This window comes from Homo sapiens, chromosome 4 (assembly GCF_000001405.40).
Source record: "Homo sapiens chromosome 4, GRCh38.p14 Primary Assembly".
Classification (NCBI taxonomy): Eukaryota; Metazoa; Chordata; class Mammalia; order Primates; family Hominidae; genus Homo; species Homo sapiens.
This window is the reverse complement of record NC_000004.12, coordinates 186897032-186922664: the sequence shown is the minus strand read 5'-3', so window position 1 is coordinate 186922664 and position 25633 is coordinate 186897032. Positions and strand designations below refer to the sequence as shown.

Below are 25633 nucleotides of genomic sequence, written 5' to 3'. Positions count from 1 at the left end.
CTGTGTAAAGAAAGTAGAATGTAACAAAAGGAAGGAAAGGTAGCAAAAGGAGCTGGAAATTGCATGATAGCCTGCAACTTCTTTTCCTAGTCCAGACTACTGTGAAATATATATTAAAACTGAACTTCTTGGGGGAAGCTGTCTAGCATAAAATTTAAGGTCTTCAAATTAAAGAATTGTCCAGAAGATGATTTTGTAAAAATAAAGAGAAACTAGTAATGTAATTTGAAATTATTATAAGGTTAAAGCATAAACAAATACACAACAAAAGTGGGAAGTCCCTGAGTATTCTATTGTTTTTCTGTTCCGTTAAAAGTACTAACAGAAAAAATTACAAATGTGTTTGCAAGTGTATAAAAATCTGACAAGATAAATATTTCATACTAATAGTCAGTCTTATTTGCCTATAAATATATATATATATATATATATATATATATATAATCTCAAAAGCAAATCAAACATATTATTTTATAAATTTTTGTTTAAATCCAAGGTTCAAAATTTACTGTAGGGAAGAAAAAGTAGTATCTTTTCCTTACCCATTGTAAGGTTCATGACTGAGACCCCTGTAACAAAACACAGATCAACAACAGAAACACGTAAAAAACGTATCTAACCAAAGTTGTATGTTACAGGGACACCTTCAGAAGTAAAGACCCAGAGACCCAGGGAAAACTGTATTTTTATGCTTAGGTTTGATGGAGAATAGACGGCCTGTAGGAGGATGACGGAACAAATAGTGGGTATGAGCAAACAGTCATTAACTGGGGGGTTTAGCAAGGGCTATTTATTCAGATTCCTCTTGGCCTCTGAGGATAGGGCAGGACCCATCTGGAGTGAGGGTCTTATCGGCCTTCTTCCAGGGGACGTAGGTCAGAGAACTCTCTTCATGGCCTCAGAGGAGAAAGGCAGGAGAAGGTAAGAGAGTGACCTTCCTAGAATCTGGGGTTTCTCATTATCCTTCAGCTTAAAACACTCAGGATCCCAAGGTGCCATATTTTGGGGAAGCATTTCCTGCACTCGATCACTACAAACCAAGGAAAGTAGTATAACTTTTTCAAAGTCATTTATTCCCTACCCTAAAATGTATCTCTTGCTGACAGTATTCGTGATGCATGTCATTTTTCCTTGATTTTATAACAAAAGAAAATAAACTTATGAATCTTAACAGATTAATTCTCATATTTACAGATGACTACATTTTATGATTTCTTCTTGTGTAGGAAAACCATTCCTTGAGAAGCTGGATGATGTTATGAAGTTCCTAGAAGCCGTAAGATGCTTAACCTTTTGGACCTCTGTGCATGTGCACATAAGTTGATACTTAAAACCAACAAACCTGAACAGAGCTGCCTTTTAAAAATGGCTTCAGAGTAGTTTGAGTGATTTCAGTGATGCAATTTTACCTGAATTCATCAGGGATGAAAATCAATGGCTGATACAGCACATCTGGTGTTGTTTCCTGTTAGTTGCTCACACGGTCTGGAGTCCCTGAGGATCCATACTGCGGCACATAACAAAAAGCAATTGCTGGATTGATTGATATTTCAATACGTTGACTTTTATGAAGGTGAGTTAGACTTCACAATAAAAAGGGGCATATTGTTTTGTCTATTTCTTAAGATATTTATGTTCCCACTCGAAATGTAAATAATCCCTATGATTGTTTGATGGGATGAAGCAAGCCAGCACAAATCTGGGTTAATTGTACTATCAGATTTCTATTATAGCTCAAAAGAAAAGCATTTAAATCATCAAAGTTTTGAAACCTTCCGATGAATGTCCGTGTAAAAATTGTTTTTAAAGCCCAACAAAATGTGCCTTTTATTTTTGCATTTCACTACAAAGTGCAATGTAATATAGCATTAACTAAATTGTGGTCCAGATGAAACCAGAGCTGTCTTTCAGGGTCTCATCACATTTCTTTCCATGTGAATTGTAAAATGAAAGGCCTTTGCCCGGGCATGTCCTCTGTGGACTCTTCCTGCAGCTGGATCATTTCATCATTAGACAAAAATGAATACACACTTTCTCAGTGATCCATAGTACTTTACAGTTGTTGTTGCTTTTAATTCTCAGATTTGAATTTTCTATGGATATAATTTCCAACTATTTTAGCCATGGCTCTACACTGAGCTGCTTCCAATATAGCACTTAATCAGAGCTAGTTCTAACTCAGAGAATAGATTCTAAGAAAATAAACTTACCGAGCTGAGGAAGGAGAGAAATTAACTGCATTCCATTTCAGAATGTGACAGGCATCATGAAAAGAATTCCCCCCTCACAGATGTATATTTTCCTTATCTGTTCTGCACTTGTTCCGTACACTAACACTAACAAATGGAAACCATGTGGTTATGAATCCATTATCTATGGTATATTTTTATTGTGGATGATTCCTTAATGTAACCAAAATGTCAGAGTCTAGTAAAATCAGATTTGACGATATATACAGAATGTGATTGTTAGGAATCTTTTAAAACATTTCTGAGTGTTTTTTAAAGTAAATTTCCTAGCATTCTTGGAAACACAGTATTGTTTTCAAACTCTGAGAAAAATCCCTTTAGAAGATTTCTAAAATGCCAGAAAAACAGGGGTATCTTGAAGCACCTACGCTAGTTGATCTCCCTCTCTGAGCAGTTTTTGCCTCTTCCTGCTTTGTTTCAGTTTGAACTGTGATGAAAAGTGATTTTAACATTTGACATCCTGGTGTATTTCCTTTTATAAATAGTAAAAGTCATGTAAATTGTTTTGTTTAACCTTTCTGTTTGGACCACCAAGAATCTGAGAAAACGCGGAAGTCCACCTTTAATTACGCTTAAGACATCGCGGCACACACATCTGCATCATTACTTTGCACGGCCTGCATAGCTACGTCCCTGCCGCCTCCTAACGCCACCCGAACCTTCTTTTGTAACTGCGAGCCCCTCTCTCCCTCTTTCTCGCTGTTCCCGCAGGATCCCCTGCGGCATTCCCAAAGACCCAGTACAATGTCTGTACATGATCTCCTTTTGGAAAGAGACTATTTGCTATTCGTGACCCATTCCTGTGTTGCTTCCACACCCTACCTCACCCCAACCCACTGAATCATGTGCAGCGCGGGGCAGGCCTGGGCAGAGCGGCTGGCGCCTGCCTCTCGCTGACATTCGGGAGGTTCCGGGTCTCCAAAGCCCCCTAGAACTTGGCCGCAAAGGCCTGGTTCACGCCCTGGGCGTGTACGGTATGTGACGCCAGCAAACCTAGATCTCAAATTGATACAATATTGGGCTTCCTACCAATACAGGAGACTCTATACTTTCAGCCTAAACTTAAAAGAAACATCCTTTGAACTAAGAAAAAACATAATTAAGTCACCCCTCTTAACACTAGGGACAACCTCCCACGTTTCGGGTCCTCTAGCTGCCTGTTTGTTCCCTGCTCCAGTAGAGAATGAGACACTTGCTCCCCTCTGCTTGGTTCCCTGGCCATCTCCCATCATCCAGAAGTGCCATCCTCATTCCCGTACTTCCAGCCCCTCCTCGCATCCCGTAAGTCTACACATCTTAGAGGTGCAGCTGAAGGAGTGTGTTCTTATTAACATATACTGCTTACCAAGGACAAGCACAAGAGAAAAGGTGACTTGGAGAATAACAAAGAGATCTAATGTGACTGAAAGAATAATTCTTTTTTAGAATAAAATTTCTAAAAAGAGAAGAGACTAGTAATGCCAAAAGATGACAGTGCGTGACCTTGTGCATACATTTCCTTTTATTTCCTCCAAGGGCCCTTATCACAGACCATAACTAATATCACCCCCACTAGGGAAGAGTTTTCCATTGGGCAAATATCACTATAAAACTCGAATGCTTTTATGCCTCTCTAACCAAAACCTTAAGGGTGGAAGAACTTGGTCTACTGTGACCTCATCATAACACTTTACAACGACTTCAACCAGGCCTCCTTTGAACCAATACATCTGAGCTCTGCTAGAGAAAGTTTATGTTGTTGTTCTTGGTTTCCTTGGTGTTGTTTTGCATTTGTGGTGGCCAGCATGCTTTGCCTCCCTACTCCATTTACAGAGTTACATAAATTTTGATTCTGCCACTTACAGCATCATCTCAAATATGTGAGGAGGGAGGCAAGAGACCTCATTTCTTGGATCCTCATTGGCCTTCCGTAAATTAAATAAATTAATAATAACTATTAATTGAGTGGTACTTATTAAAAGAGTGAGGATTTAAAAAATAATAAATAAAATGTTTAGGGCAGTATTTGCTACATAGCAAGGATTCAATAAATCTCAGTTACAACTCCCATTCAATAATAAAAGTCCTTTTCGTTTCTTTGTTTCTGCTGTGTCCAGTCATTGGCCACCCTTCTCTTTACTTTCGCTTTCTGTTTACATTACCTCCCTAAATGTGATTTTTAGAAAAATAAGATAACCTGTAGTCCCAGCTACTTAGGAGGCTGAGGCAGGAGAATGGCGTGAACCCAGGAGGCGGAGGTTGCAGTGAACCGAGATCGTGCCACTGCACTCCGGCCTGGGCGACACAGCGAGACTCTGTCTCAAAAAAAAAAAAAAAAAAAAGAAAAATAAGATAAGATGCGTATTCTTATCTCCCTTCTTGGTCTCATCTCTCTTGCTTGTGGAATGAAGAAAGGACAAAATTACTGTGCCACATTGACTTCCCAGGACACATCACAAACTTTCAAAAGTCCATGCTTTTGTACATCCTGTAAACCTCTCTTTGGATGAAATCCCCCGCCTGTTTTGTGTGTTTGCCAAATTCTTGTATATCCAAGAAGGTGAGGTCCAATGCAGTATCCAGTGTGAAGCCTTGCCTGGTTTCCCAAGGCCCAGTGAGCAGTATTGTCCTTGGTGCTCCCATAGATAGAGCTCAGAGTTGCCACCTCTCTGCCACATGCAATGGGTCTCTTATGTGCCTCTTTCTCTCATGATACGCTGAGCTCCTTGAAGACAGGAACTATGAACTATGGGTTCTTTAGTTGATGTCTGTACTTTCTAACACATGGATGCTCATAACTCAATAGATATTGAGTGTCTATTATGTGTTACTCAATATATTGAGTATACTCAATAAATACTTTGATACTCAATTAAAATATTTTGAATACATGAGAGTCTTCTACCTGCTTTGGAAAGAGGACAAATTATTCATAAAAGCACACAAAGGTGGCACTTTGGGGCAGCAGAATGCATAGAAAAGTTGAAAGAAGAAAAGAGAAAAATAGGAAAAGCAAAGCAAATGATGCAGGAAGTATACCACACAGAGGGATCCTTTCATTTCTTCTGTGTTCATTGATTTATTTTGACAAAAAGTGCTAGAGCCAGATTTCATAAAAGCTTTCCCTTTGAGCTCTACCATGCTTTATAAACAAACTTAGCTTGTTATGACATACAGCTATTCCCAGACAACTCCTCACCATCACTTAGAATCTTCATCATTGGCAAGATTAAGATTCTAAGATCAGATCTTACAGAATTTTTAATCCAACCAAATCATAACTATTTACTATAATTCTTAAATTTCTGTCTGAACAAAACTATCAATAGCTTTTACAAATTCCACCATGATACAAAGTTAAAGGTCGTTTTCTTATTAAAAAGTATGGACATGTTCATAGACATGTTCATATTTTATTCACGATAAAATATAAGGGCTAAAAATTGGAACAGATTGTTAAAACTACTGTAAATTGTTTTACTATGAATCTTTAAATTCCCATGTAATTAATTACGTTAAAATTATGCTATTAGACATAAATTACTTCAGAGATAACTGTAAAATACAAGATAACAATAAAATTTACAAAATTATTACCAGAAGTAAATTTGATAGCTATGACTAAATTACAGGCAGCTCTAATTCAAGCTTTGCTATCAGCAACTTACTGTATGATGATATAAAGTCACAGATGGGTGTCTCTGATCATGGGCTATTTCAGGAGGTGACAAGGTCTCTGACAGGCTTCTTCCCAGCTCACACTTGCTAGGAAATAGGTCTTACTCTGAGGACTGATAGCCGATTTATTCTCAAAAGTCTGTGTTTAATCCCCTAAATCCTTCCTCCAGAGTATATGGGATATCCTCTCATTCTTTCCCTATTGTAGAAGTCTTTATTTTAAGAAAAGAATTATTCTATGCCAAAAAATAGGAAATACAGAGAAAGAGATATTTCTGAAGGCTCCACAATTTTAAACCACAAAATTAAGTAAGGGACAGAGGGTCCCCTTTAGTTGGTTTATTCCTATCTTTGGCACAAGCAGCAGTTCTCAAACTTAGTATGCTAGAAACTTCTAAAGAAAAATAATCTAAAAAAACTTTTAAGTTATCTTTTAAAAAGATAAGAAAAGTATTGTAGAATTATTGAAATCTGCAAATGTAAACCAATTTCAATTACTGTTGGAATCTATTTTGAAAATAACATCTGAAATTAGTTTTTAATTCTTGCAGACATTAAAAAGAATGTCTAGTCCAGCAACAATTTCACCATCAAATCACTGAGGGAAATGAATAAATGCTAGTTATCGTTCATTCATATAATCCATAGATAATCTGAGCATGAGTCAAAATTTCTGGCCATTGCTTACTTTTGTCTTTAACTTGGAATATTCAGCCTGCTATGGAAACCTCATGCTCCATGACACCTGCCTGGCTTTCATTTGGTGTGACGGCATTCTTTACGAATTAGGTCAACTTGAATTATTTTCTTACTAGCTCATTAAGAATGAAGGTACTTCTAACTGCCAATTTTAATCCCAAAGAGGAGTTTACTTTTGTCTCGTCAACTACAAAAAGAATTTCCCATCAGGATAATGGTGGACCCTCATGGCTATTGTTATTTCATGCCACTTCAAAAGCAACCAGCATGCTTCCCAGCACAGCAAAAGCTACATGCTCTCATGTTAGCACCAGGTCAGTTTTAAACACAAACCCAGAAGCAGGTTGGAAATGCGGCTCAGTTATAAAGCGGCCATCAAGATCATGCAAAATATGCTTCTGCTAATTTGCTTAGGGTAACATCAAAACAAAAACATTGAAAAATGCTGGTAGAGAACTCTCAGATCCCAAAGAACACATCTAGGGAACTGCTGAAAATCTCCTTGAAAAGCACTGAATTAGAGGATCGAACACTCTTTCTTGGATCCTGGAGACCTGCCTAAGTCAAGTTCCTAGACATTCTCTAATTTGAAAGTCAGGTATTCTCAATAGGGTCATCATCGTAAGTGCATGCACTCAATGAAAATACCACTTTTTTCTGAGTGTGTGCTGTGAACAAGACAGATAAAGCCACCTACAACAGGAAGTCATGTAACAACGAAGTTCAAGGGACATTTACCAATGATGACCAGAGATGTGAGCGTGGAAGAGAAGCACACTGAGGTATCCCTGCAGCAAAGACGGCCACAGCAAAGACTTCCAGTGTTCAGCAGGACAGTGGGTTTGAGTAAACAACAGCTTCTACTAGCATAATAAAGGCCAGCAGATGAAAGATTTCTGGCAGGTAGGATCAGAATTTGCAGAAGAAAATCCTAGTAACATGCCCCACCTACCAAGGAAGACCTCAGATCTGCCTTGCACTGATGGCATGAACATAATTGGCTGCAAAATATAACACTGTCCTCTAGATGTCTCAAAACTGGTGTCTAGCTTTTAAACAATCTCCTAAATACCTGCAATGTCAGGGAAATCTGCTGAAAAGCAATTTAGTTAATTTAGAGAGTTTAACATAGTTAGAAATATTTATTTTTATAATAGGTGTCATCTTAAAAGTATAAACTAACAGCTCCTTCATTAGGATGTTTGTGTCCTGCGTGTCACTAATTTCTCACAGTGATGCTATGAGGTCATTGTTATTCCCAGTTTCTGGATGAAAAAACTGAGACTTAAAGAGGTTAAGTCAACCAAGGCGGTTTTCATCATAGCTATTAGTGAGTACTAAACTAGATAGTATACATATTACCCATTATAGAGCAGACACCTTCTTAAAATATAAACAGAAATTGTATTTTGTGCCCATTAAGTTCAAACTCTTCAGGTCAGTCCTTTCCTCCACTTCACAGCATGTCATACATGATATATGAAGTGCAACAGCTCTTTCCTCTTTTGTCCTATTTTTCTGTACCCACATATTTTCCTCCAGTTCATGCAAACATATTTATGGTGTACATTAGGGAAAAGATAACCTAACAGAAAACTTTTTTTTTTTTTCTTGAGACAGAGTCTTGCTCTTTCGCGCAAGCTGGAGTGCAGTGATGCCATTGCAGCTTACTGTAGCCTCAAACTCCTGGGATCAAGTGATTCTCTCATCTTGGCCTCCCTAGTAGCTGGGACTACAGACATACACCATCACACCTGGCTGATTTTTAATTTATTTTATTTGTTGAGACGGAGTCTTACTCTATCACCTAGGCTAGAGTGCAGTGGCGCTATCTCAGCTCACGGCAGCCTTAACCCCCCAGGCTCAAGCAATCCTCCCACCTCAGCCTCCCGAGTAGCTGGGATTACAGGCATGTGCCACCGCACTGGCTAATTTTTGTATTTTTAGTAGAGATGAGGTTTCATCATATTGCCCAGGCTGGTCTCGAACTCCTGACCTCAAACAATCATCCCACCTCAGCCTCCTCAAAGTGCTGGATGACAGGTGTGAGCCACTGCACCCACCCAGAAGACTTTTAAGGAAATAATTCACCAGCACTTTTACAAAAGATGAACATGGGCTTCTCAGGAAGTACAGGTGCAAACACAGCCCTGTGGTTTGTAGAAAGTCACCTGATGCAAGCAACAAACAAGAAAAACAAGTGAGCAGGCCAGGGGCAATATGAGGCCCCTTGTGTGGCCCTGGAGATTTCATCTCACATCAGACACCCTGTTTGTTCCCTTCCACGTGGAGTTCTTGGTATAAGGAGTCCCACAAGGAGACGGAACTTGACAACTGAGGGTGCTTTCTAGGGTATTTCTTAAAGAAAAAAATATGTAGCTTGTGGATATTTCTGTTAAAAAGTAGTTTTGAGGTCTGAATTCCCCAGATAATCACGTTCGTTCTGCCATCCTTTTTCTGTAGGCAAGTCCAAACTGCTTTATCATTTCACTGTATTAACTTTAGAGGAAAACACCAGATGAATAATTTGGTGATATTTTCATGTAGGTAGTTTGGTCAAACCTCGCTGACAAATACATAGTGCTTTAAGCAGCACAGTGCATGAAATAGTTCTTTGAAATGAATTGATATCTGTCCTTGATTGTCTTCATCTTGCAGATGAGGGCTCTAAAGGCATGTCGTAGCCTGCTCTCTCTAACCTCCCCTCAGGTACCTGTTCCCAAAGTCAGACACTGCTTAAGACACAAGGCCATTTTCGATACAAGACCTTAAGATAGTTTGGAGAGTTAGACATGACTTTCTCTTGGTCGGCATATCCTGTGAACTAACTTTGGTCACACTAACTATGCTGTACGCTGTGCAGAAATCTCAGAGGTAAACTAGAGACTCCAAGTCACACTTCTGGTTTTATTTATGAGCTACAGAAAATAATCTCTAACATTTCTATTGTGGTATTGAATGTAATTATTGTCTACAAGCCTCTTTCTAAGTGAAAATGTCATCCTGTCCCAACCACAGCACTTCAGTTGTCATGAAACTGAGTAAAGACAGTAAAAAAAAAAAAAAAAAAAACCCACTGACTGTTCCTAACACAGTGTTTTTGACCATTTTGTACATTTCCCTTTAAACTCCCTAATCATCACGATCTTGGCAATAAAAGCGTTCGAGGTACTCACACGTCAAGGAGAACATACCTACAGCATTGCCTTCCTTTCTCCCACCTCCAACATCTATTAGCCCAAGTTCCCACCCGTGTAAACATGAGTCACTTGGTTTTGGACACGTTTATAATCATCCATCTCAGAATACACTCGCCTTAGATCAGGCCTCAGCTCCTTAGAATACCCGCCACCCAGGGTCCGTGGTCAAACAAAAATATTACATAATACAATAAAAGAAAGAGAGCAGAATCTTTTTTCAAAAACACAAAAGAATGATGTAGAATATTCTGTGCGTTTTACAGTTATGGCTTGAGGAAAAAGGCAAATTAAGTTGTGATGAGGGGAGAAAAGTCAGCAAAAACCTAAATACATATGTAGTTTCATTATATTTTATAGAATCTTAGCCAATTGCTGATAGAAAGATTTACATAGCAATCCCACACTCAGTAAACATGTAATGAGTAAAAAATAAATGTCTTCTGTTGCTTTCTTAAGCTAAGAAAAAAGTTGGGTTGCTTATTTATTTAGCTGATATTGGTTTAAAAATAATGTTCAACTCCTACTAGTTGTAAACAGTGTACTGGACCGTAAAGATGCAAAAGTAGGCAAGAAAAGGGACAATCACAGCATGATATTAATGTAACAAGCCTCACTTAGGGGAGCACAGACGAAGAGTGCAACCCAGTAATCCAGGCAGGAGACATCAAGGAACTCTTTCCAGCAGTGTAGGGTTTCGAATGGCATCTGAATGGCTGAACACCAACAGTTCACCTGGTGAGGCAAGGAAGGGGGCATTGGCTGGGTGGAAAAAAGTTTTGCAGAAGAGAAAAAAGGAAGGAAAAGAGATGGAAGGAAAGAAGGAAGAAAGTGAGAGAAGGAACAAAGGAGGAGGAGGTTTGGGAAGTGGGGGCAGGCAGGAGGGAGAACCACTGTGAGAACACTTAGCTACAAATTTACAAATATACAGTGACACTTTACTTGTTTAGAAACAAAGTGGCTCATGCCTGTAATCCCAACACTTTGAGAGGCCCAGGCGGGCTGATCACCTGAGGTTGGGGGTTCGAAACCAGACTGATCAACACGGAGAAACCCCATCTCTACTAAAAATACAAAATTAGCCAGGCGTGTTGGCACATGCGTGTAATCCCAGCTACTCGGGAGGCTGAATCAGGAGAATCGCTTGAACCCAGGAGGCGGAGGTTGCGGTGAGCCAAGATCGTGCTATTGCACTCCAGCCTGGGCAACAACAGTGAAACTCTGTCTCAAAAAAAAAAAAAAACATAAACCAACAACAACGACAAATGCAACGTTTTCTAATATCTCACCCCTCTGAGAAAATAAATAGTAAATTTTTTATGTTTCTGGATTGTGTGACGTGCTTTTAATGTCATATGAATACTTACCTATATTTTAATCTAGAACAGTAAAAGCAGTAAAAGTCTGTATTCTCAGATTTTCCTTCCTGCAACCATAGATGTGTATCAGTCCCATGAGACCCTCATAAATTACAAACACACACTGAAAATGCCTTGACTTTCTCAATTATTTTTTCTTTAATTGATCAAGGTTTACTTGTAACATTTATTATCTTTCTAAAAATGAATTTTGATCTTTAAAAGATGTAAAGATGTTTCTTAGGAATTAAAATATCTGATACTGAAGTCTTTTAAGCTTTAATTCTTTAATTCTTTTGCTGAAACATCCATAGGATTAGCTATCCATCAAAACGACTTTGAGGGAAACATTTCACCATGTATTAGTATGATTTTATAGTTAACTAATGCTCTTAGCTAGAAAACTCTGCCTTTTTACATAACCAATGCATAATGTGTAGAGAATAAAAACCAGCCTAAACAAGCTTTATTTCTTTCCACTGAAACTATCATTCCAATAAACTAATTGCACTATAGGTGTTATTTAGATTGTATTGATTGTTCTGTGTTTATGGATTTGGATAATTTTTTAAATGTTCAAGTAATTTTTAAAAATCAATGGCAATATTATCTGGTATTGCTATTAGTACTTCATCTCAAAGAATACTAATGTGTTTTAATATGTATAAAATTATATTGACCATTTTATTAGTGCCTGCATAATAACTATTACAGGAAAACATTCCAAAACTGTTTATTATAAAAACAAGACATTACATAAGGTTTGAAAAATGTAGGAGATAAATCAGTCAAAAGTTGACCACTCTAGTAGAACAACTATTGGCATTTTACCTGTGGTAAGGTTTTCACAAGCTGGGTGTAAATCAGGTGTGCGGTAGAACCAGGCAAACAAATTGCCCAATAGCCTCTTCTGCCTCCAGCACTGACACCTTAATCTCTTTCTGTAACCCTCTCTCTGGCTTCCAGCCAGGGCTTGATACCAGGACAGGCAAATTTCTCCCTAGAACAATTTGCAATAGAGGCCCCAGAGTCACTCACAATCCTTGCATTTGTAGGAAGTGCCATGCTAGCTTCATAAACATCTGGATTAAGCTTCCTTGGAGATATCACACTTTATTAAAAAGAAGAAAAAGACAGAAGTAGAAAAACTCTGTCATTGCTAATACAACATTGAATAACTGAATCTTAATTCAAATACTTTCTATCATAATCACAATGTTGTGTGGTCACTGGTTCATTAGAAAATGAAATACAAATTCTAAAGTAACCACTCACTTATATAATAAAAGATTATTATATTAATCCTAGCATTTCCTCATGCTGAACACTACTTTTATTTAAACACATTGGAAAAAGAATTTTACCTTTAACATACAGAGAAGTGGGCATTTTTTCCTTTGCTATATTTATGATTATGCGTTTGATTTCTATTAATCTCTTTTTTAGATACCCCAAATCCCTCAGTTATAGAGAAAAATAAAAAAAACCTCACAACAGACCGTGATTAGGTGACTACTTTTTAGAGATATTTTCCGTCAATAAATATTACAAGTATTCGTTCTATGATTACTGAATGACTCCAAATGCGAATTCTATGGTGAGACATCCGTAGTTACGTTGGTCATTTTTTCTTGTTACCTAACTTGCCTTCACTCCTATCACCATCTGTTCTTTTTCTTCCTATCTATGAGAAAAACTTTTGGCCACCTCCTTGGCTCTGCTCTTAGTCTTTATTTCTTCCTCACCTCCTCTTTCTATCCCTGTCTCCTAAAAATTTCCAGGACACTGGAGAGCTAAATGGGCTCCTCGCTACTGCTCTACCACAAACAAATTCAGCTTTTTGGAGTATGATTTGGAAATATCACACGACCTTATTTCTAAGAATTTATTCTGCAGAAATATAGAGCACAAAAATATATAAAAGAAGGATTTCGAGGTTGTTGGGAATAGTAAAATATTATGAAAATCCTGAGGGATTTCAATAAGAAATTGGGTAAATTAAATTTAGGCATAGCTATACAATGACATACTCAGCTAAAAGCATATTGTGTATCTCTCTGCATTGACTTGGAAAACACACATGACAAATTGTTGAGTGAAAAACATTACAGATCAGGATATAATATGATTCCATTTGCATTATACATGTGTACACATACATATTGTGTGAAAGAATTCCAGAAAAATATCCACCAAACCGAGAGCAGTGTTCATCTCTAGGAAGCAGAATTACATGGAAGGCTTTCACGTCAGCTTTATTCACTTTTATATTGAGTATTTTTAAATCAGCAAGCATTTCTTGATAATAAAGCTCTTATTAATCTATAGTAATTTTAAAATTTGCCACAAGCTCAGGAATAGAAAGATAAAGTCAAAAATTATACCAGAGGATATATGGAATTTAGTGTATGGTACTGGCGACAACATAAAACAATAGGAACATAATTGGATTAGTTAGCAAATAGTATATTTGATTATCCATTGGAAAAACATCAAACTGAAAAATCATTTCTTTCCTTATGCTGAAGCAAACAAATGATTTCCAGATCCATCAGAATTTTAAATGTAAACAAATGAAATCATAGAAGTTCTAGATTACAACATAGGTAAATATTCATATGACATTAAAAGCATGTCACAAAATCCAGAAACATCAAAAATTCACTATTTATTTTCTCAGAGGGGTGAGATATTAGAAGACTTTACATTCGTTTATAAACAAGTAAAGTGTCACTGTATATTTGTAAATTCTTATGCCTTCACCTCAAAACTGAGTCATAGAAAGAACACATTTCATGTAAATATTATAGATATATACATTTCAATGGAAGGATCAATAGTTTTTCAATGATTCATGGTGCAACATTTCAGTTCATGCTTCTCTTTGTCACTAAATTCAGTTCTATTCACTTATGATCAGAAGACCTTTAACATTCCTATCAGGAAGTCTTCGCGATCTGTAAACACATTATCACATTGTATCCACCTCCCTCACAACCAAAAAAACTTTTATTTTCTGACCAAAAACCAGTACTGTTTTAGATATCTTTGTTTCATTCTTCATTGCTATTAAAGCACCCATCATTGACTTCTTTTCTGAGAACCTTCACTCAAAGAGTTAAATAAATGAACATTTTATGCCGTGTAATTGAGAAGGAACAGAGGATCACAAGCCTCATGAAGATGGGAAGTTCAAATTCTTAACTCCTATGACCTTTTCAAGGGGCAATCTGGCAATACCTAGAAGGCATTTAAATGCATGTAACTGTTCACATTTTTTTAAAGAGACAGTATGCTTGTATTTGAAAACAAAATTCCTCAAAGGGTATATATAAAACCATTTGTTGTGGTAAAATTAAGGACAAGTGGAATTGGAAGATGGGGTAGTTAGAGAACTTTTATTTTTCCTGAGCTTATGTAACTTTTATCATTAGAAAAGTCCTGCTTCACTGAAATTACAAATATTTACAAGTCATGTACTATCAGGTTGCCCATAAATAGGAAAAACTAAAATGTCTGCTGTGCCTGTTAAATACCTGTGGACCATCACACTAAAAAAAATAAGATCACCTGCCTATCCTCCAGGAGTCGACGATTTTATTGAGAAGGCAGGGTTTGCAAATAAGTCAATTTCGGGAAAAACGTAGCCTACTGCAAAGGTCTAAGCCAGCTGTAAGCAAACGCATTGGCTGGCATGCAAGAAGGGATGGTTGTATTTGTCTAGAAGGAAATACCAACATTAGAGGAACAGTGATTAGCATGGTATGTAAGACATAGTTTATGGGACCAAAGAAGGCAGAAGGGTGTTTTAGGGGAAGAAATTCAAACTACTGGAGATCTGGAGGTGAGAAAAATTGGGGTGTATGTGAGGCCAGGGGCCATGCATGGAGACAAGGAGAAGAGCTTGGCGGGCACAGAGCACAGGCCTGTGGGAACGAGCCTAAGGATACTTTTAGGAAGGATTTTTCCTCACAGCCGGTCTCCAAGGGTAGCTTTGTGACTTAAAAGCACTGATAGTTTCGGCCGGGCGCGGTGGCTCACGCCTGGAATCCCAGCACTTTGGGAGGCCGAGGCGGGCGGATCACGAGGTCAGGAGATCGACACCATCCTGGCTAACAAGGTGAAACCCCATCTCTACTAAAAAAAATACAAAAAAATTAGCCGGGCGTGGTGGAGGGCACCGGTAGTCCCAGCTACTCGGGAGGCTGAGGCAGGAGAATGGTGGGAACCTGGGAGGTGGAGCTTGTAGTGAGCCGAGATCGCGCCACTGCACTCCAGCCTGGGCGACAGAGCCAGACTCCGTCTCAAAAAAAAAAAAAAAAGCACCGATAGTTTCTATAAAAATTGCTCACAATAATGAAATCATGTGATATTATGAAATATAACAGCACTACTATGGTCTAAAAATTGTATCAGGAGCAACCAATCTAGAGATGTTTGGCTTGGAAGAAAGGTGTGGGATGAAGTTTGAGGAGGGAAGAGAGCATCGTAAAGATTTGGCGATGGCAGCACGGTGAAGGCACTGTGCCAAGACCTGGCAATCCCAAGGGCCAGCTCCGACCTGCGTCACAAGAACTCATTGGACCACTCCAGTGTAGACAGCTGTAAAATAGGTCTTCAGTGTAGACAGCGGTAAAATAGGTCTTCAGTGTAGACAGCGGTAAAATAGGTCTTCAGTGTAGACAGCGGTAAAATGTCATATCAGAGAAGACAATCTCTTTTTTTTTTTTTTTAGACGGAGTCTCGCTCTGTCGCCCAGGCTAGAGTGCAGTGGTGCGATCTCAGCTCACTGCAACCTCTGCCTCCTGGGTTCAAGCAATTCTCCTGCCTCAGCCTCCCAAGTAGCTGGGATTACAGGCAGGTGCCACCACACCTGGCTAATTTTTTGTATTTTTAGTAGAGACAGGGTTTCACCATGTTAGCCAGGATGGTCTTGATCTCCTGACCTCATGATCTTTCCACCTCGGCCTCCCAAAGTGCTGGGATTACAGGCATGAGCCACCACGCCTGGCCAGAGAAGACAATCTTTAGGATACTATCAATCAGTAGATTGCGTGACTTTTTGAGGGCTTTCTTATGTGCAAAACAAAGTAGGTATATTCTGCACAGCTTTAGGGAAAGGATTGAGATATTAGGCTGGCACACACAGAGACAGATTTTAGCAGTTCTTGGCTGTCAAGAACATAAGTTGTTGAAGTGTCCACGGAAAAACGTAGTATTGGAAATGATAGCTCACAGCACTTATGGGAAGACCAGACAACCAAGCAACTAGGCGAGGCCTGGGCAAAGCCCTGTCCAGGCATGGTTGGCTCCTAATACTACCAAGGGCACCGTTGCCACTGGACTCACTGACGAGGCTCATGCTGGGGATATACAACAGCTGCCACAATAATCTCCCACTTTGAGCTTTGCTGCACCCCTTGAGAGTCCCAGCCCCAGCGAGGGCATGAATGGCTCTGATTATGCCATGTGCTGCTCGTGCCCTAGAGTCCACAGTCTGGGAGGAAAAGAGCCTGTCCATTTCAGCTCCCAGTAGGAGGCAGAGCCCTACTTTGGAACTACCCCAAAAATAGTAAAGATACATAAACACTGTTCAAAACAATGCAAGGCCACCTAATGAGATCTGGCCAAAAATGTATGTCTTGCCTTTGGAGGTGGCAATGGCTAGATGGTGGCCCCCAGAAAGATATGTCCATGTCCTGATCCCTAGAACCTGTGAATGTGACCTTATTTTGAAAAGGGGTGTTTGGCTGGGCGATGTGGCTCACACCTGTAATCCCAGCACTTTGGGAGGCCGAGGTGGGTGGATCACCTGAGGTCGAGAATTCGAGACCAGCCTGACCAACATGGAGAAACCCCATCTCTACTAAAAAAAAAAAAAAAATACAAAAATTAGCCAGGCGTGGTGGCGCATGCCCATAGTCCCAGCTACTTGGGAGGCTGAGGCAGGAGAATCGCTTGAACCCAGGAGGCAGAGGTTGCCATGAGCTGAGATCACACCATTGCACTCCAAGCTCAGCAACAAGAGTGAAACTCCATCAAAAAAGAAAGAAAGAAAAAAAAAAAGAAAGAAAGAAAGAAAGAAAGAAAGAAAGGAAGGAAGGAAGGAAGGAAGGAAGGAAGGAAGAAAGAAAGGAAGGAAGAAAGAAAGAAGGAAAGAAGGAAAGAAAGGAGGGAAGGAAGGAGAAAGAAAGAAAAGAGAGAAAGGAAGGAGAGAAAGAAAAGAGAGAGAAAGAAAGAAAGAAAAATAAAGACAGAAAAAAAGAAAGAAAAGAAAAAAGAAAGGAAAGAAAGAAAAGGGGTCTTTGTAGATGTCATTAAGTTAAAAATCTTGAGATGAGAAACTCATTCTGTATTACCTGGGTGATCCCTAAATTTAGTAACAAGTCTCTTTTTAAGAGACACACAGAGGATAAGATAATGTGAAGACGGAGCAGAGATTGGAGCAATGTGGCACTAGCTAAGGAAGCCAGACGCCACGAAAAACTAGAAACAAATGGATTCTCCACTACAGGCCCTGTAGCGGGTGCAGCCCGGCCAAACACCTTTGAGCTTCTGGCCTTCAGAACTGTGAGATGATAAATCGCGATTTTCATGCCACTAAATTTGTGGCAATTTGTTACAGCAGCCCCGAAAACAAGACAGAGGCAGTGAGTGACCCATTACTGTAAGTATTTAACAGGCTAAATTCTACTTCTCGGAGGTCAGTTTTTGGAGACAATCCTTGCCCAAACAAAGTAGGAGGCCAAATTCAGGGATATTGCATGTTCTTTTTAACTCCAGAGTTCTAGAGTGCTACCCTTCACATAGATACCTCAGCAAGAATATAGCCTCATCTTGTTTATTGTATAACTTCTCCGCAATTAGGCTTAATGACTAAAATATTAATATTTGGCTACAGATAGAGTATTGAAGTTTTTACTTCCAAAGTTGTTAATATGCGAATTTGATCTACCATTTACACTCTTGCTTTTCCTTTATTCTTCCTCTCATTTTTTGACAAAAAGGTTGAATCAACTAACATGAAAAAATTAACTGTTGCGATTATGCAGCTGTCATTTTTTCATGCTCCTTGGGAATATTTGCTGGAAAAATAAATGGGAGTTGGGCTGCTACATTTGTTACCAAATCACTGGAAATTCCCCTATTGCACTTTGAATCATCCTGAGACACACATATTTTTAGCTATTTTCTTGATGTTGTCATAAATCAGGGTTCATCTCTGCATGCTTGTGACTCATGTCCCATTTGCATAAATAAATATTGAGAAGTGGTGTGGAGAAAAGTCTCTTTCTTTTTAAACAAGGAACTTAGGCAAGTGACAGGCATTCTGTAAATCTGGAAGTGAAAAAATCCGTTGTAGTGAATTTGATCAGACATATGTTCTTCTGCTCTTTCCCCAAATATTAAAAGTAAATGATTACATAGAAGTTTTTCAAGGGTTTTCTAGGTGTTTTAAACAGATTTAATTTTTAATATCCTGATTTTGAATAATGTCCTATGATATTTTGTGGGTATACCCTATTTATAGCCGGGCGTTACATCTTTCTAGATGCTATGGAATGGTGATTGCAGATGTAACCTTGGTTTTAAAGAATATGTATAAGCCTTATAGATACTGGATTGTACGTGTGCATGGCTGACATGAATTATAACACCAGCGTAGTGACATGAGAGATCTCTGTGTGATTGTTACCTTCCCGACTCCTGCTCCTAAGGCCGTGACTCCCCATCACCCCTTCATGCTAGTCTTCCCTCTCTGCTCTGTTCAAGGAGCTCACGGCATGAAGTGAGGTTCAGAGATGTGCACGGCATGAAGCCAACCATGGGCAGTGCGGTCGCAAAGCTACCAACACAGCGCTAGGGAGAGCAGGGCGGGAAGGGCTCGGCGCATGGTGAAGCATAAGGGAAGTCCCTCTGGAAAAGACGAACCTGAGGAAAGGCTTCAGGAGTGGGCAGGACTTCCCATAAACAACATGGGTTGGGGGAAAGTGGGTTTCATGAAGCAGAAGCCAGGGCCCAGGCAAGGGAGTGTATTGAGATGAGGTTGAGAGATCCCTGGGCAATGAGGCAGTGGGCAAGGGGCCGGCAAGGCAGGACGGATCCAATTTGGATTGTATTATACAAATAAAGAAAAGTGATGGAGAGCTTTTGCACACAGGAAAGCTTTGCTCCTGTAGAAAGTTGGATGACATGGATGTAAAGTTGAACTAGAGAGAAAAGAGCTGGACTTCAGATCATTCTTCTTTTCAGGCAGCAAGTGTGGGCAGTGGTATTCTGGAATGGCGATGGAGGAGAAGAGGGGTGGGAGTCCCCAGGAGAAGAGGCAATAGGACTGGCCTGACCCTGGCAGGGAGAGAAGGCAGCAGGTAAGGCCCACCAACGGCCTCAGGGTCTCCTCTACTTCCTCATCTCACACATGCCAGTTCCCGGGAACCGGTGAGTTGCCTATCCTAATGCTAAAAAATGGGACAAAATCTAGTAATATACTCTCCGATATAACACACATCACACAACTTGAAGCACCATTTGAATTGAATCCAAGTTGCTCAAAACTAAAAGCTAAATGCTAAAGCTAAAAGCTAAATTCCTAAAAGCTAAATGACAACTCCACTGCCTCATTTCATGTGGTTTGTAAGCAGGAGAAGCAAACTTTCCACCATCTGTTGTTTTCCTAGCTTGCTAGAGCAAACTCTAGAATGCACCCTTCTAGGCAATCACCTATTGCTTTATTAACTTTTTAATCCAAAGAGAAGACATTTTATCCTGCATGTATGTGCCTTGGTGCCTATGTGTTGGGGGCAGGGACCAGTGTTGAACGTGAGGTTTCAACTCTGCCTCCCGAGTCTGGACATAAAATGCAGCTGCCACCTTCCAGCCCAGACAGCCCAGGCTATTTATTCTACAGTGAACTTGTGTTTGCAGCACTTCACTGAGCCAGTCCTAAAATGCCTTTTATCCCCAGCTGGATGTCCTCTGACTACTTAGCTTTTACGGGTCCACTTCCTCCTGCTTTTCCCTTTTACAAGGGTGTGGTTTCTGCAGTACATTTCTGTACAGAGATGAACGCAGAGCAGGCTATAATCCCTAATCTTATTTACTGCTCCCAATGTGGGACTCTGAAATATTGGGGTGAGGTGTTTGGTGTGGTTCTATTTTCCTCTTATAGCCAGAGCGTTTATGAGAGAGTATTTTTACAATGACTTGTGACAATATTTGAAAAGTGGGTGTAGCTTGTTCACTTGGGAAGTTCTAGGCCTTTTTCCTGCCAGAAAGAAAATGCAAGCTCAAGATGCTTATTTTGGTAAGGAGATTCTTGCATGGCCAAATTGTGCTCAAAATGCAAAGCAACCCCTTCCCCCTAGAGTATCTGTGCCTTTCAGAGCAATGCAGCAACCTCGCTTGGCTATGTCAGGCCTCGGAATTATTGTTTACATTCTCTATCGCCTGGTGGCAGTGATTTGCAGGCCTAGACTTTGCTTTGTTGGCAGGGAGGACCACTCACCTGGTTCTCCAACTGCATTTGGGCAAGCTGTGTATTCCTTTGAGGATAACTTTGTCCCTTCCTTTAAGGCCTGCTTAGATGTGAAGGTGTAATGAAGAATCATCATTACTCTGGTTCCTTGTCTAGTCCTTGCTCTCACACCTATAGGATAAGGTCCTGGTTTGGAGAAATAATTCTCTGGAACTTGCAATAGCTGCTTGGTCCTGGAAGCCTTTTGGAAGTAAAGTGAGAGAGGAGAAGCCAGGACAACATCCCCAGCAGAACGATGTCATGGTCCTTAGAGCTGCTAGATCTGAAGAGTCAGGCTAAAGGTTTCTCTGGGGTCGGGCATGGTGGCTCATGTCTGTAAACCCAGCACTTTGGGAGGCTGAGGCAGACGGATCACAAGGTCAAGAGATTGAGACCTTCCTGGCCAACATGATGAAACCCCATCTCTACTAAAAATACAAAAATTACCTGGGCGTGGTCGTGCGCCTGTAGTCCCAGCTACTGGGGAGGCTGAGGCAGGAGAATCACTTGAACCCAGGAGGTGGAGGTTGCAGTGAGCCGAGATCACACCACTGCACTCCAGCCTGGCAACAGATCAAGACTCTGTCTCAAAAAAAAAAAAAAAAAGAGAAAAAAGATTTCTCTGGATTCTTCAAAGCTGAAGAGGCAGTTTCTAAAAGTCATCCAGGAAAGCAGTGCGTGTAGCAGAAGTGCTTTGCCAACAGCAGGAGAGGCGGAGGTTCCAGGACTGGCTTTGCCATTAACTAGCCCCATCACCCAGGACAAGTCAGTGAAACTTGAACTTTTTGAGCTATAGTTTCCTTGAAAACAAAAGCTACACTGAATCAATAGTTCTGAACTCAAAGAGAAAGGCAAAGGTAGAGGATATTATGATCACCGGAAAGTTGTTTTGTTTGCATGTGTATCTGTATGTGTAACACTCATGCCTGCCACCAAACTTACAAGAATTTCAGAGTTCAGGAGGGAGGAAACCAAGAAGCCAGGGATAAATGTTTTGGAAAAGTTTCTGATATGCTTTTTATCTTTTCTACATTTTTTTAACAGAACATTTATTAAAGTTGTTTGACATACAATTTCACATTTGTCATTTTGGAAGTCCTTTACTGTAAAAAAATTATTGGCTCTGATGATAAACAGCCGTCCCAGTGATGATTCTGGGCCTCCACATTGAGTACGTTCAATTTCTTCTTGAGACAGGAGTTTCCTTCTGTATTTCTAGGGTAATGTTTTTATTATTCTGCATTGTCTGCCAGACCCTGATATCTCAGAAAATCTGATGACTCACGTCCCTTAGAGTGTGTGAAACTGCAGAAGAGTGAGACAGTAGCTACAGATCTCAAAGCTCTGACATACTGGGTTGAGGATTGTCTTCTCTTTCAGGCAGCCTTATTAATGGGAGTATGGGGCCTGACGACCTGAATGACCCCACTGGCAGAGACCTTCTTGCTCCCATCGGCACCCCTTCTAATATGCATTTTTTTGAGACAGGGTCTTGCTCTGTCGCCCAGGCTGAAGTGCAGTGGCATGATCTCAGCTCACTGCAACCTCTACCTCCCAGGCTTAAGCAATCCTCCCACCTAGCCTCCCAAGTATCTGCGATTACAGGCACCCACCACCACACCCAGCTAATTTTTGTATTTTTAGTAGAGACAGCGTTTTGCCATGTTGGCCAGGCTGGTCTCAAACTCCTGACGTCAAGCAATCCCCTGCCTCAGCCTCCCAAAATGGTAAGATTACAGGTGTAAGCCACCATGCCTGGCCATGATATGCTTTTGATACTAACTATCCCATCTTCAAGCCCACTTCTTTCTGCTACAGAGTCTCTACATTACATGATATCTAGGAGCCTTCTATCTCCAACATTATATTGCACCGCCTAAAAAATATTAGGGTACCATGATTAGGATATATCAAATCGCTGAGAAGCTCCAATACCATATCTGAGGACTTGGAATTCAATTGAGGAAATCACAGGTCTCATTGTGAGATGCTTTATTATTGAAGAACTGAGAGAGAAACACCGCAAGAAGGTAAAGAACAAGTGATACCTTGTAAAGAAAAACATGATTAAACACAGAGAAAAAACTTTTACGTGGAAAATCAATGACAACTCAACTATTTGTAGTGTTATTGTACATGATTTTTACTATTCAATATGCTTTAAGAAGGTAATTTTATTTTATTTCATTAAAAATTTTCTTTTTCTGAGACAGGGTCTCACCTGTTGCCCAGGCTGGTATGCAGTGGCACCATCTCGGCTTACTGAAACCTCTACCTCCCAGGTTCAAGGGTTCCCCCTGCCTCAGCCTTCCAAGTAGCTGGAATTACAGGCACCCACCACCACACCTGGCAAATTTTCAAAATTTATTTTTTGGCACAGACGGGATTTCCCCATGTTGGCCAGGCTGGTCTCGAACTCCTGACCTCAAGCGATCTGCCCACCTTGGCCTCCCAAGGTGCTGAGATTATAGGCTGAGCCACCGCACCTGGCCTTAACAGGATAATTTTAAATGATATACTTTGTCTTATTGCCATATTGTGTAATTTGGCAAAATAATGCACCACAAACACAAACAATTACCTATTAAAGTACTTTTCTGACACTTGTCCTCTGCAACAGTTTCCCTGTGGAAACATGCACTACATTAGATTAGACTTCCAAATGAGCGGACTTCCCATCCCTTCCTACTTTTACACTTTGGTTTAATTCTAGTCTTATCCTAAAAACGGCTATGAGAAACCCAAAAGGGTAATTTGGAATAATCCTTTGTGGTGACCTATATAAACTTCTGTATTTCTTTCCCTCCTCCCTCACACCTATGCAATAATCTCTCTTCACACACTCATTACAAAAGTGTAAAGTAAAAAAGAACTGTCCTTGAAAATAGAGCATCCACATAAAAACTCAGAATGGGCAGCTATTCCTCCTGTAAACACTGAGAGTCTATCCTGTATCAAACCCTGGATTAGGTATTAGAAATACAATGTCAAGTAACTCACAGCCTCAACTCTGAAGATGGATGGATGGATAGATAGATAATAGATGATTGATAGATAGATTAGTGAAGGAACATCAAAGTAAATCATCATTTCAGTGATACGGTAGCTGATGGTGATATGGAAGCAGCTAGGAGAAGCTTCTAAATTAGACTAGGAAATAAAAGAGGGCCTCTTTGAATAAAGGACACTCATCTACATTTTGAAGAATGTGTAAAAATTAGCTACATAAGAAAGGGAAAAAGAGAAGAGAATGAAGAAAGTTTTGAAGGAAAGAAATGGCGTGATCTATTGTTCCCATAGTAAAGAGGTATGGGATGATGAAACCAGTAAAACTAGGAACAGAGGCCAGACATCTCTGAAAGACGCATGAAAGCCTTGAGTCCCAGGCTAAGGAATCGTAACTTTATTCGGCAAGCTATGGGGAGATGTTGAAGAATTTTTCAATAAAGGACATGATTCAGCAAGTGACATCATTGGGGAGCAGCATCAATTGCTCTGCCAGCATTCTGAGGAATAGTTCTAGGAGGTAGGGTTAGCTGCTAGGATTTTTTTTTTTTATACTTTAAGTTTTAGGGTACATGTGCACATTGTGCAGGTTAGTTACATATGTATACATGTGCCATGCTGGTGCACTGCACCCACTAACTCGTCATCTAGCATTAGGTAATTCTCCCAATGCTATCCCTCCCCCCTCCCCCCACCCCACAACAGTCCCCAGAGTGTGATATTCCCCTTCCTGTGTCCATGTGATCTCATTGTTCGATTCCCACCTATGAGTGAGAATATGCGGTGTTTGGTTTTTTGTTCTTGCGATAGTTTACTGAGAATGATGTTTTCCAATTTCATCCATGTCCCTACAAAGGACATGAACTCATCATTTTTTATGGCTGCATAGTATTCCATGGTGAATATGTGCCACATTTTCTTAATCCAGTCTATCATTGTTGGACATTTGGGTTGGTTCCAAGTCTTCGCTGAGGTTAATGCGATATTTCAGGCAAAAAGTGTGAAACCATAACCTGAAGTGATGTTCTTAGAAGAGGTGAATTAAAATTCTAAGGAGCCGGCCAGGTGCGGTGGCTCACGCCTGTAATCCCAGCACTTTGGGAGGCCAAGGCCGGTGGATCACCTGAGGTCAGGAGTTCGAGACCAGCCTGACCAACATGGAGAAACCCCGTCTCTACTAAAAAAAAAAAAAAAAAAATTAGCTGCGCGTGGTGGCAAGGGCCTATAATCCCAGCTACTAGGGAGGCTGAGGCAGGAGAACCGCTTGAACCTGGAAGGCAGAGGTTGTGGTGAGCCGATATTGCACCATTACATTCCAGTGTGGGCAACAAGAGTGAAACTCCATCTCAAAAAAACAAAAAATAGAATAAAATAAAAAACTCAAAGGAGCTGCAACTGGTTAGATCGCAGAAGTGAGGGAGAGGGAAAAGGTGAAGATGTGACACAGGTTTCTGGCTTTGTCAATTGGTTGACTAGTGATAGGATTCATTGTTCAGATGGGAAACTTAAAAGCAACCAATTTTCTGAAAAATCGCTTTAAAAATATTAAGTTTGAGAACATATAAGTGGAGTGATCCTTGAGATCATTGGATGTGGGGATATGGAGCCTTCCATAAAATCAGAACATGCCGCTCTATACAAACACATGTACATATAGATAATTATCCAGTTACGCAAATAGTATATTCTCAGCAAAAACTTGGGAAGGAAATGCATCCTGAGTTTAACAGGAGTTATCGCTGTTTGGTACATGTATGAATGGGATTTCCTCTTTCCTTCCTGTATTGTTTCTGTTTTCCAAATTTACATAATTAATATGCATTACTTTCAGTGTAGATAAACTTCCTTTTAATAATAACAAAAACAAGGGAAAAAGAGAATTCTGAATGTAGTCAAGATGGCCTTAAGCAGTAGAGTGAACTCAAGAGAGGAAAGTGTCTGTGGGGGTATCTG

General features: G+C 40.0%; 1 long non-coding RNA gene and 1 pseudogene across 6 annotated transcripts in view, besides 1 other annotated feature; both read right to left on the bottom strand.

The window, feature by feature from the left end:
• LOC102723906 (uncharacterized) overlaps positions 1-25633 on the bottom strand; it is a 220555-nt gene that overhangs the window by 138552 nt on the left and 56370 nt on the right. The window lies entirely within an intron of this gene.
• Positions 1276-2475: an enhancer, noted in NCBI's record as "MED14-independent group 3 enhancer chr4:187841344-187842543 (GRCh37/hg19 assembly coordinates)". NCBI's record gives its function as "activates an origin of replication core promoter dependent on BRD2, BRD4, P300/CBP and CDK7 cofactors, and independent of MED14, by STARR-seq in HCT116 cells {active_cell/tissue: HCT116}" and the evidence as "EXISTENCE:reporter gene assay evidence [ECO:0000049][PMID:35650434]".
• On the bottom strand, positions 21824-21926 carry MRPS36P2 (mitochondrial ribosomal protein S36 pseudogene 2; annotated as a pseudogene).